Source organism: Homo sapiens, chromosome 20 (genome assembly GCF_000001405.40).
Source record: "Homo sapiens chromosome 20, GRCh38.p14 Primary Assembly".
NCBI lineage: Eukaryota > Metazoa > Chordata > Mammalia > Primates > Hominidae > Homo > Homo sapiens.
Window position 1 is genome coordinate 46,173,514 of NC_000020.11, and position 12,480 is coordinate 46,185,993.

Consider the following 12,480-nt stretch of genomic DNA (forward strand, 5'->3'; position numbering starts at 1 on the left):
CTTGGCTCCGCTGGTATTTCAGTGTGGTCTGAGACTCCTGAAGGCTCCGCAGTTGCCGGGAGTGTCCTTATCCCCCATGCAGGGCAGGATCAGGAGCCGACAACTGCAACCTTTTCCCCTCCCCTGGGAGATGTAGGGAAAAGGGGAAGGGCATCTGGAGCAAGGGAGAGAGCTCAGACCTTGGAGGCAGACACACTGGGCTTCTAAGAACCACAAAGATAAGAATAGTAACAAAGGCTAGCATTTATTGAACACCTACTATGTGCCAGGCACTGTCCTAACCACTTGACACATATGAACCCTTTTTAGCCTCACAACTCTTCGAGGTAGGTTCTGTTATTAACCCCATTTGACAGATGAGGAAACTGAGGACCAGAGAAGTGAAGTGACTTGCCCGAGGCCAGGCAGCTGGTCAGTGCCAGAGGCTCTGCCATTCACTGGCCAGGTGCCCTTGGACGGGTCACAGCCACTTCTCTGGGGTCCTTTCCCCTTCTATTCCGTGCAGGACACCACCTCATGGTTTCTCTGACGACTGAGCTGGTCTCTGTACAGCGTCCCAGCACACAGTAGGTGCTTAGTAAGTGAACAGCCTTCTTTCCTCTTAACTCTGATGGGGGAAACCTGGGGTGGGGGCATCTCAGCGGCGTGCTCCCTCCAGCATTCTCCCCCAGGCCAGGATTGAGTGACCCGCCCCTTCCCGACTCTGCAACGCCACCCCCATCTCCCATTCTAACCCCAGAGCCACACCGTGCCCGGTCTCGCCTCAGTTTTAATGCCGTTGGTCAGAATCCCGCACCTCTGGGCTCCAAAGCTGCACCCCTAGAGGAGGAGGAATGGAAGAGTCCGCTCCTAGCAAGTCCCCCCTCCGTCCAGCCGCCAAGGGAGGGTTGGGGGAGGGCAGGAAAGGGGGTCCGCGGGGGAAACGCGTTGTCCTGGGGCCCCGGCGTGTGCTGGGCGGGTGAGCAGCCGCGCCCCGACGGCAGGGCGAGGGGCTAGGAGGCCTGGGCCTCGTCGTCCCCGCGGTGGCCGGCGTAGAGCGCGGCCAGGGGCCGGAAGCGCGGACCCCAGCTGCTGAGATAGGCGAAGTCCTGCTCGGAGCCCGACGAGCCGCTGTGCAGGGAGCTGAGCGAGGCGGCCGGCGAGTCCGCGCCCTCGAAGGCGTAGGTCTGGAAGGCGTCGTAGGGCGGCACCGACAGGTCCCCGTCCGCCAGTGCCACCTTGCGGCTGATGAAGTCCCTGAACACTGAGAAGTCTGGCTCGGGGCTCGGCGGCCCCTGCGGCAGCGAGTGGCGCTCGGAGGGCAGGTGGGCCTGCGGGGGGCTGCCCGCGCCCCCGCCCGAGCCCCCGCCCGCTCCCCCGCCCGCGCTGCCGCCCCCGTCGCCGCCCTTGAGCTCGCCGAAGTCGTAGAGGCTCCGCAGCGCCGACATGTCGTAGGCTTCGGTGTCCTGCTCGCCGCCGCCTTCGTCGTTGTATTTGATGACGTTGTCCCGCATGTCTTCATCCTCGTCCGAGCTCAGGTGGCTCTTGTGGTGGCGCCTGAGGGTGAGGATCAGCAGCACCAGCACTGCGAGGGGGACAGAGGGGGCAACTGAGGGCCAAGCCCCTCCCAGGGCATTAGAAGGACCCTCTACCCCATCTCCTCCCGCCTCCCACCCAGCAGAGCGGGCCCAGCCTCAACATTCCTACAGATTTCCTGGATTTCTGTTCAAAAAGCCATTCTTGCAATCAGAACTGAGCTGAGTGTCTGGAGAGGTAGTGAGCTACCCATCTCGGGAGGTATGCAAATCGAGGCTAGATTACTCTGGGGTGGAGGTGGCCAATGGGAGAGCAGTGTTAAAGGTTTTCCTGGGTGTTGAGGCCTGAGGTCTCCCTTCTCAGCCCTATGAAGAGATACACTCTCTGAGGACTCTAGGTGCTGGGGGTCTGTAGCAGGCAGCTGAGAAACAGAAGGAGCTGGAGGAGTGAAAGATGTCCTTCACCCTGACCTCTCTTTCACCCTCACCCTCCTCTGCCACACCAGAAGTCTTGAGCTCCTACTCAATCCTTTGGTTCTCAGGTCAAGGCCTGCAGGAACCCTTCCCTGAGAGCTGCAGGCCAGGTTCCATGCCTTCCCCTGCAAGATTCCCCAGGACGGGGCTCCTTCCTCTATCATACTGGTTCTCAAAGTGCGGCCCCTGGGCAACAGCAACATCCTCCTGGGAGCTTGTTAGAAATGCAGACCCTTGGATCCTGGCACGGATCTTGTGGCAGTGGAGGGGAATCTGTGTTTTAACAAGACCTGCAGACCTGAAGAGGCAGCTCAAGTTTGAAAGCCACAGCTCTGTCATAGACCAGACCCTGCTGTGTTACCAGGTCTGTCTCCACCCCAAAACACACACCCTAAGCTAGGACCTGGGAAATGTTCCTCTATCTTGGTGCCTGGCATGCAGTAAGCACTTGAAGCATGCTTGTTGAATGAATGAATGACTAAAGGAAGAGTTGGATGGAGACTTGGGTAAGTGAATGAATGCTTGTCCCCTCTTGGCTTTCTTCACTTGATTTCCAGGACTCCACATTCTCCTCCTCCTCCCACCTCACTGATCACTCATTCTCAATCTTCTAAGCAGGTTTCTCCTCGCCTCTCTTAACTCAGATGTCCTAGGATTCAGACCTCGGTTCTGTGTCCATGCTCCCTCTCTTGGAGCTCTCCTTTGGTCTCAACAGCTTTAAAAGTTCCATTTAGAAACTGACAATCCCCATATCTCAGCCTCCAGCCTGGACCTCTCCCCTGAAATCTAGATTGTACATTCAATTTCCTACTCAACACGCCCTCTTGTTGACCAAGCGAATCTCAAACTTAACAGGTTCAAAGGTGAAATACTAATCTTTCCCCCTTCCCCACCCCGAGTCTCCCCCACCTCAGTGTTAGGAACCCCGACTTTTCAATTACTCAGGGCTTCTAAGTCTCTTTTGTTGAGTGCTAAATCTCAGTGTCTAGTACATGGGAGGAACTCACTGGATGGATGTATAGGTAAATGATGATGGGTGGATGGACTGACAGATGGACAGACATGTACGAGGTACTGTGCTGGGCACTGGACTCTTCTTGCTCCTCCAAACAGCTCCAGTGGCCAGAGCTGGCTGTGAGGGCCATGGGGCAGGGCACCTGCTCACCACCTAACAAGGTGGCTTGTGACAGGGAAGAGCACGAGAGCTGGGGACAGGCCCGGAGGGAGGGCACAGGGAAGGAAGGTGTCAGGAGAGAAGTGGGAAAGATGGATGGATGGCTTCTGGAGCCGAGGCTGGGAGCTCTGGAGGGGGATGCCCGCGGGAGCAGATGGTGAGGTTTGCGGGTGGCGGGCGACAGATGTGCCAGGCCTGATCAGCGATTCCACCCGTCACCTTTAGAGCACTGATGTGCACTTTCTTCGTTTGTGGGCAATTAGGCAGAACTTTGTTTGCACTGCCTCGGAAAATGAAACCGCTGTAAAGTGCACCCTCTGGAAAAAGGGTTTCTGAGCCATGGGCTAGGGTGGGGGGAGAAGGGGGACCTCCCAACTATGAGGAGCCTGCCCAGGGCCTCTGCTGGGACCTGAGGAGGTACAGCCTGGCCATAGGCAGGTCCTCAGAGGGTGGACAGAGGCCGTGCCAGTGCCAGCCAGTGAGGGCGGGGGGAGGCAGCTGACATCTCCCAGGGAGCAGAGCAAGGCTGGAATCTGCACTTGGACCTCCCTTGAGCTCCTCTAGCTTTGGCCTCAGTGCCCTTCTTTACTTGGGTGGTTACAGCTGTAACAGGTGGCATATGGCCATTCAAATCCAGGTTAGCTTCTGAAACTTGACCTCTTCATTGGGGAGACTTTGGGGTGCAAATGGCTGCTAGTGGCCTGGTACCAGTGTAGATTTTGCCCCCCTCCCCCACCACCAATGACTTGAGATTTTGCTCTCAGTTTAGATTCATAGCAGGTGGTGTAGTTAGAGGAGCAGAGGACACAGGGTGAGAAGACCTAATATCAAATCCAAAGATTATCCAGTACCCTTACACCAGCCACCTAACCTCTCTGACCCCCAGCGCTTTCATCTGAAAAATGGGATGATATGCCTGGCCATGTGCTTGTGAGGTTCACAAGAGCCCTTTTTACTAAAAGTCCTACATAGAGACTAAAAAAGGACCATTCACATGAGAAAATTTTTTAAAAATATGCTAGGGTGAGGTTTGGGCTACACGTGAATGGGGTGGGCCACAGTGAGCTCATCCCTGGAGTTGGTGGCGGGGCCGCTCTGCACTTAGAAGACTCCTCATGGGGGCTGCTTGTTAGAGCTTGGAGATGGTTTGGCCAGCCCATCCTCATGTGGAGAGGGAAGCTGAGGCCCCATGGGGGCTGGTTAGGAAGGAAACCCAGGACGCCAGGATGGGGCCAATCAGGCAGGGCTGGGTGGCTCTCGATGGACTCACCAACCAGGATGAGAACGCAGACCAAGAGGGCGATGAGGGCGCCGGGGCTGAGGGAGGCGGCCATGACAAAGGCCGTGGTGTTGCAGGACTGGATGGTGCCGGAGCTGTCGCAGCCACAGATGCGGATGGTGAGCGTGCCTGTGCTGCTCAGTGTGGGCGGCCCACTGTCTACCACCAGGATGGGCAGGAAGAACACGTCCTGCTCCTGCCGGTTGAAGCCCACGTGCTGCGTGTGCACTGCAGCGGTGTTGTCTGTTCCGGAAGAAGGGGGAGCGGTGTGACTTGGGGCCGGGGGTCAGCATCCTTGTCCTAGCCACCTCCTGATTGCATCGTGAGATTTGCCTCCCTATGCCCCAAACTACAGCCTCCCAATGGACTCATGGGTCTCTTCTCTGATCTCCCAAAATTCTATTACCAGATGCCTCCAAATTCTGCCCCATGCTGCCCAAAGATTCTGTCCCCCAAAGTCTACCCTCAGCTGCCCAAAATCCTGTCCCCATGTAGCCCACAATTCTGTCCTCAAACCATCCCAAGATTCTGTTTTCAGCTATTCTAAGATTTTGTCCTCAGCTGTGCCAAGGTCCCCAGCTATTCCCAGATTCCGTCCCCAGCTAGGCCAAGGTCCTGTCCCTGGCGTTGTCTTTTTTTTTTTTTTTTTTTTTGCCATTTGTCTCAACAGCTTGTTTTTGCTCTAGATTCCACCCCAGCTTCCCAGCGTATTCTGACCCTAGGAATCCTATAGGGTCCTTGGGTTGTGGTTTGTTGGGCCCTGACAAGTCCTGGGTCCTCAGAAGGGACTGGGAACTCTGGCTGGCATCTGCCTTTGGCTGTGGGATCTTTCTGTCCTTCATACCCCAAGGCCAGTTGAGAGTCCTGGAGCCTGACAAGGAGTCTCTGCCTAAGAGGCTGAGCCTAGAGGGCTGGGGGCGTGGTGAGGGGCCTGATGAGGGGCCCTGGAGCATTGAGGCCTTCTCCACATCTTTCCTTTTCACATAGGCGGCCAGAGAGGACAGTGAACAAACACAAATGGAACTCATGGCACTGGTTCAGCCTGTCACCGGGGAAGCCAGGCAGGACGCAGGGGGATGGTGGCTGGCCTTGGAGCACAGGCTGAGGTGACAGGTGGCACCCCCTTCTCCGCCCTTTCTGCCTCCTTCACACCTGTTCTGTAGGAGTCAGGCCACCTGACCCTCTGTCATTTTGATGGCCTCTCTCAGTTCTGCACATGCAGGGGTACGAAGTGCCCAGAGCTCCGAAGGCTGCTGCCCCTCCCTTCACAGCCAACTCTGCCAAAGGGGGCCCTGCATTCCTGCTGGGGGCCTTCAGTCCTCCTTCTCCCCGCGGTCTTCAGTCTGCTGTTTCTAATCTGAGAGCCAGATCTGGGAGATCTGTTGGCAGCCTGGGTTCCTTACCCTGCTTCGTGGCCCCAGTTAACCCAGCTCCTTCCCCAGACGACCCCAATTCAGTGTCCCAGATCTGGCCTTTCTCATCATGGATGCTATGCAGGAAAAGGAGCCCTACGAAGGTCTGACTTGTGGCCTTTGGCACATCTCAGAAGTGGACTGCAGGTCCAGATGCAGCACGACTGGCTGTGAGTTGGAGGCTGCCCACGAGGTGCCGGGAACATGAGGGTTCATTCCATTAGCCTATCTCCTTTTACACACATTTGAGAATTTCCATTAAAATGTTGAAAAATAATGCAAGTCTATCATTTACTAGCTGGGGAAACCCACTGAGCTTCTCTAAGCTTCAGTTTACCCATCTGTAAACTCAGAAAGGGTATCATGCAGGTGTGAGGATTAAATGGTGTAATTCACACATAACCCTTAGAAAAGTTCCCAGCCCATAGAAATGCTCAATAATGCTGATTAATATTTTTTCAGACCCCGCCCCCATCTTCCCTGTGCTGCACCCGCTGCCGGCTCCCTGTCTAGGCCGCCCTGCCTTTCCTCATAAAGTTCCTGCTCTCTGGAACACCCTCTTCACCTTCTTGCCTGGGCAAATTCCTCATCCGTCATGCTCCAGCTAAATGTCACCTCCTTTCTTGTGGCCTCCTTTCTCCGCTTCCCTGGGAAGGAAGGATTTATGGCTCCCCGCTCCCTGCTCTGACTACGCAGGTGCCATGCACAGTTCTGTTACAGCACTTGTCACGTTGTGTTAAGTTAGTGTGTGCCTGTTTCTCCACTGCATGGCCAGCCAGGGCTGGCATGGAGCCAGTCTTGAAGAGCAATCCTTGAATGAACCACAGCTTTTGGGAGAACTGGTGGTCTTGGGTCAGCCCCTCAGGTCACTGCTGCCACCCTGTCCCCGGAGCTTACATGGGGTGGTCACACTGGATGGCAGCTCTGGTGGCCACCTCAGCCAAACAGAAGCAATTAAGGCAGAATCTCAGGCCCCTTGGGTTGGAAAGCCTTGTGAACTTGGCAAGGTTGAGTCAAGTTCGACAGTTCAAACTGGCTACATTCAGGCTTGAACTCTAGCTCTCCCCCCAAAGGATGCGTCAACCCCAGCTGGGAAAAATCTGCCTTCTGCAGGGGAAGAAAGGGGGCTGGAGGGCAAGATGGGAGAAAGAGGGAATGGCATGGGACCCATTTGTACTGAATGGATTTTTTTTATGCATCAAGGACTCTCTGCATATTTTAAATACATAGTAATGTTTAATCCTCATAACCTGTTAAGAGTTGTGGCATTATTCCCATTTTGTATATATGGAAATTGTGGCTCAGAGACAAGTGACTTGTCTGAATTTTTCCAGTGAAAGCATTCTTCCTTCCTTCCAACCATCCAACAAATCTTTTTTTTTCTTGAGACAAGGTCTCACTCTGTCACCCAGGCTGGAGTGCAGTGGTGTGACCTCAGCTCACTGTGACCTCGGTCTCCCAGGCTCAAGCAATCCTCCCACCTTAGCTTCCTGAGTACCTAGGACTACAGGTATGCACCACCATGCTCAGCTAATTTTTTTTAATTTTTAAAGTTTGTTTTGTGTGTGTGTGTGTGTGTGTGTGTGTGTGTGTGTGTGTACAGATGAGGTCTCATTGTATTGTCTAGGCTGGTCTCGAACTCCTGGGGCTCCTCCTGCCTCAGCCTCCCAAAGTGGTGGCATTACAGGCATAAGCCACCATGACTGGCCTCCATCCAACAAATCTTTATTAACTACTATGTGCTAGGCACCATGCTAGTCGCCATGAGAAAACAATAGAGAGCTACACCAGCTCGCTGCTGGTCCTGGATCAGAGCTCATATTTTCATGTAAGAAACAATGCTAATCAAATAAACCCACAATTTAGTCTACAATTACAAACCATGGTGAGTGCTGTGAAGGAAGAATATAGGAAGAGCACATAACAGAGCACCTGAGCCAGTCTAGGAGGTCGGGGAGAGCTTCTTGGAAGAAGTGATATGATTCCTGAGCCTGAACAGTGAGTTTAGGGAGAGGGAACAGCGTATGCAAAGGTCCTGAGGTTGGAAGAAGCATAACACACTCAGGGACCCGGGACACTCAGAGGACACTCAGTCCTTTGTGGCTGGAGGAATGAGGGTAATAGCTACAATGAGTCAAGACGAGGCTGGAGGAGGAGGCAGGCGGTCATTGTGGAAAGCCTGGGAGGCTGTGGTAAGGAATTTGGGTCATTTTCCCTTCCTTCCCTTCCTTCCCTTCCTTCCTTCCCTCCCTCCCTCCCTCCCTTCCTTCCTTCTTCCTCCCTCCCTCCTTTCTCTCTTTTCTTTTTCCTTTCCTTTCCCTCTTTCTTTTCTTTTCTTTTCTTTCTTTTTTTCCTTCCTTCCTTCCTTCCTTCCTTCCTTCCTTCCTTCTTTCTTTCTTTCTTTCTTTCTTTCTTTCTTTCTTTCTTTTCTCTCTCTTTCTCTTTCCTTTCTTTCTTCCTTTCTTCCTTTCACAGAATCTTGCTCTGTCACCCAAATTGGAGTGCAGTGGTGCAATCTTGGCTCACTACAACCTCCGTCTCCTGGGTTCAAGCAATTCTCCTGCCTCAGCCTCCTAAGGAGCTGGGATTACAGGCGTCTGCCACCACGCCTGGCTAATTTTTGTACTTTTTAGTAGAGACGGGGTTTCATGATGTTGGCCAGGCTGGTCTCAAACTCCTGGCCTCAACTGATGTGCCTGCCTCAGCCTCCCAAAGTGCCATGATTACAGGCATGAGCCACCACTACTGGCCAGAATTTGGATAATTTTCTTAAAAGCAACAGGAGGCCATTGATTGGTGGGCTTTAAGCAAAGAAGTGACCTAGTGACAAACCCATTCATTCAACAGCAAGTAGGAATTGAGCATCATCTCTCTGTCAGGACTATTCTAGCCCCGGGGGATACTGCAATGGACAGAATGGATGCGGTCCCTGTCCTTGCTGGGCCTGTGTTCTAGTTGAGGCAGCTTATCATCTAAAATGCAGGAGTCGATGTGGAAGAACAGCCAGGAAGCTCTCGTGTGTTTTAGGTGTGAGATAATAGTAGTAGTGGAGGCACAGAGAAGTAGGCAGATTTGAGAAATGAGCGGCTGGCTCCGGCTCAGCTTCAGATTGCCAAGCAAGAAGAGGGATGTTTGTCTCTCAGGGTTGCTGTCTTGGGCCATGGGACCATATGTTCTGGGAACTCTGGTCCCCACCACTCCTCCACCCCATGAAGGGGAATCCCCAGGCATCAACCCTGAATGCATCAAGCTGCCCTCCTGGGCAGCAGCTGGCTTCAGTTGGGGAAGCCTCTGGCCACCCCGGTCCCCTACCCCACCCTTCTAGGTGGGATCTGTGCCCAGCGCTGCATCCATCCATCTGGCCTGACATACATCAGTGTCAATCCCTGGCTGCAAAGGCAATATTTATAAATCACGTTTCCAAACTGGCTACACATTTGTACAAAGAAACAGATGGGTTGGGGTAGCCGTTTGTCACCTAGGATATTTATACAGTGAGGAGGAGGGGGCTTGGCAAGTAGTGGGAAGGGGCTGAGGGACTGGAGGAGGAGGAGGCCTTCCACGGCTGCTGTGACCTCAGCGTGCTGCTGCCACCCTGTCCCCGGAGCTTACACCAGGTGGCACTCTGGATGGCAGCTCTGGTGCCCCCCCCTCTCCCCCAGCTAAACAAAAGCAACTGAGGCAGAATCTCGGGCCCCTTGGGTTGGAAAGCCTGGTGAACTTGGCAGAGTTGAGCCAAGGCTAGCTGTGTTTCCTGTGACCTGCTCAGGATACTACTGGACTAATGAATAGGCAGGGCTGTACTGGTTGTTAAAATATTGAAATACTTCCAAAAAAGGCTTAAATAGCTGTTGACACTAAGCCCCCCAAATCTCTCCCTGCTGCCTCAGCCTTTTCCCCAGGCAGCCTCCCAACTTTGACACAATCAAGCCACGAAGGAGTTAATGCCTGGTGTAGTAAAGTTTCCAGGGTCCTGCTCCAGGTTTTGGTCAGCGTCCTTTCTGATTGGCCATCTGAGCTGCACTGGTTGTTAAATCTGTTTATTATTTTTCATTATTTATTTTTAATTATTGATTGACTGAGACAAGGTCTCACTCTGTCTTCCAGGCTGGAGTGCAGTGGTGCGATCGTGGCTCAATGGAGCCTCAAACTCCTAGGCTCAAGTGATTCTCCTGCCTCAGCTTCCTGAGTAGCTGGGACTACAGGTGTGCGCCACCATGCCCAGCTAATTATTATTATTATTTTTAAAGAGATGGGTTTTCACTGTGTTGTCCAGGCTATTCTCAAACTCCTTGCCTCAAGGGATCCTCCTGCCTTGTGCTGGAGTTATAAACATGAGCCTTACATATTTTTAACAGGACTCCCAGGGGTACAGATGGGTCTGGCTTCAGAGGCCACTAAGGCTCCGCATTGGGTGTGAGTGTGTAAAGGCCTTGAGAAGGATCCCAGACCTGTTCCAAGGCCAGAAGGAACCCACATGATCTGGCCCCCTCGCTGACCACATCTCCTCCCAGTCCTGTCTCTTACTCACTCTAATCACACAGGTCTCCTCCATTCCTAATCCACCCCAGTCCTGCTCACCACAGGGCCTTTGCACTTGCTATTTCTTCCACTGGGGTGGTCGTTTTCTCTCATATCCTTTAGGTCCCTTCTCACTATGGATACCCTTGGAGAGTCCTTCCCAGGCCACCCTATTTAAGAAGATAGCTTCTCCTCTTACCCTGCTTTCTCTCTCTCTTTTTTTTTTTTTAGATGGAGTTTCGCTCTTGTTGCCCGGGCTGGAGGGCAATGGTGAGATCTCACCTCACTGCAACCTCCGCCTCCTGGGTTCAAGCAATTCTCCTGCCTCAGCCTCTGGAGTAGCTGGGATTACAGGCATGCGCCACCCTGCTGGACTAATTTTTGTATTTTTAGTAGAGACTGAGTTTCACCATGTTGGCCAGGCTGGTCTCGAACTTCTGACCTCAACTAATCCGCCCACTTCAGCCTCCCAAAGTGTTGAGATTACAGGGCTGAGCCACTGTGCCCTGCTTTATTTTTCACTGTTTCATTGAACACATTTTATCAAACACCTACGATATGCCAAGCACTGCTCCAGGCACCTAGGGTTGAACAAAGTCAAGTCCAGACCCTTGTGGAGATTGCATTATTCCTCCACCCCAGCCACTTATCATCCCCAACATACTTTTTTATTTGTGTCATTTCTGTCTCACCTCACTAGAATATAAACTAGGTTTTGTTGTGTTTGCTGTTGCATTTCCAGGACCCGGAGCAGACCCCGACACAGAGGCTTTGTGTCTCAATAAACACTCACTAAATAATTGCTGGATGTAGGAATTGACATTTCTAGGTATTAACACTATATCTTGGTGGCCCTTATCTTACTGGGGCTACCTAGCCACCCGAGGCAGTAGGTGTTACTCCCATTTTAGATGATGAAACTGAGGCTTAGAGAGGAACAGGCGCCCCAGCACTTTGGTAGGCCGAGGCGGGCAGATCACCTGAGGTCAGGAGTTCGAGACCAGCCTGGCCAACATGGCGAAACCTCGTCTCTACTAAAAATACAAAAATTAGCCTGGCGTGGTGGTGCGTGCCTGTAACCCCAGCTACTCTGAAGGCTGAGGCAAGAGAATCTCTTGACCCTGGGAGGCAGAGGTTGCAGTGAGCTGAGATCGCACCACTGCACTCCAGCCTGGGCAACAGAATGAGATGCTGTCTCAAACAAACAAACAAACAAAAAACAACAAAAAAACCCCACACGCATACACACACACACACACACACACACACACACACAAACAACAACAAACACAAAAAAACCAGAGAGGAACAGGAGCTTGCCAGGGTGGTATAGAGCACCCTTCGCTGAGCCTGGTCCCTTATTTCCAGTCTGGTGACTGCCCCCTTCCCTCAGTCTATTCCTTAAAGGTTCAAACATCAACATCATGAGAAACTTGTGAGAGCCAGAGGGGAGGAATCTCACAGTGGACTCAGGCAGGGCAGGGCAGTTTGCTTTCCAGGTGGTGTGCTGAGGCAGGAAGCACACTGGACTTGGGATGGGGTTGGGTTGAATCCTACCCACACCACTGACTCCCTATATGACCCTGGGCAGGACTCTTTCTCTCTTAGAGTCTCAGTTTCATCACCTGTAAAATGGGGAGAGGAGTCAGAAAACTACCTCACAGGATGGCTGTGAGGTTGCAGAAAGAAATGTGAGTGGGCCTGGCGTGGTGTCTCATGCCTATAATCTCAGCTCTTTGGGAGGCCGAGGTAGGAGGATTGTTTGAGCCCAGGAGCTCGATACCAGCCTGGGCAACACAGCAAGACCCCATTTCTACAAAAAATAAAACAATTAGCCAGATCTGATGGTGTGCATCTGTAGTGCCAGCTACTCAGGAGGCTGACGCAGGACTGCTTGAGCCTAGGAGATCAAGGCTGTAGTGAGCTATGATTGCACCACTGCACTGCTGCCTGGGTGACAGAGCAAGACCTTGTTTCAAGAACAATTCCAAAAACCAAAAAAGGAATGTGAGTGGAATAAAGCAGTTTTTAAACTGCAGGGTGGGCTGGGCACAGTGGCTCATGCCTATAATCCCAGCACTTTGGGAGGCCGAGGCAGGCCGATAG

The 12,480-nt window shown here is 52.9% G+C and overlaps 1 protein-coding gene across 4 annotated transcripts in view, besides 1 other annotated feature; it reads right to left on the reverse strand.

Moving 5' to 3' along the window:
- Positions 1-225: 225 nt before the first annotated feature.
- CDH22 (cadherin 22) overlaps positions 226-12,480 on the reverse strand; it is a 134,760-nt gene continuing 122,505 nt past the window's right edge. For all 4 annotated transcript variants that reach the window (XM_024451966.2, XM_047440373.1, NM_021248.3 and 1 more), the window contains 2 exons: positions 4,433-4,684; positions 226-1,564 (listed from right to left, as the gene is read on the reverse strand). In XM_024451966.2, the coding sequence (XP_024307734.1) occupies positions 993-1,564; positions 4,433-4,684 (824 nt within the window). In that variant the 3' untranslated portion in view covers positions 226-992. The remainder of the gene's footprint in view (positions 1,565-4,432; positions 4,685-12,480) is intronic.
- Positions 1,061-1,110: a silencer, noted in NCBI's record as "silent region_12973". NCBI's record gives its function as "represses an Ori minimal core promoter by ATAC-STARR-seq in GM12878 lymphoblastoid cells {active_cell/tissue: GM12878}" and the evidence as "EXISTENCE:reporter gene assay evidence [ECO:0000049][PMID:35858748]".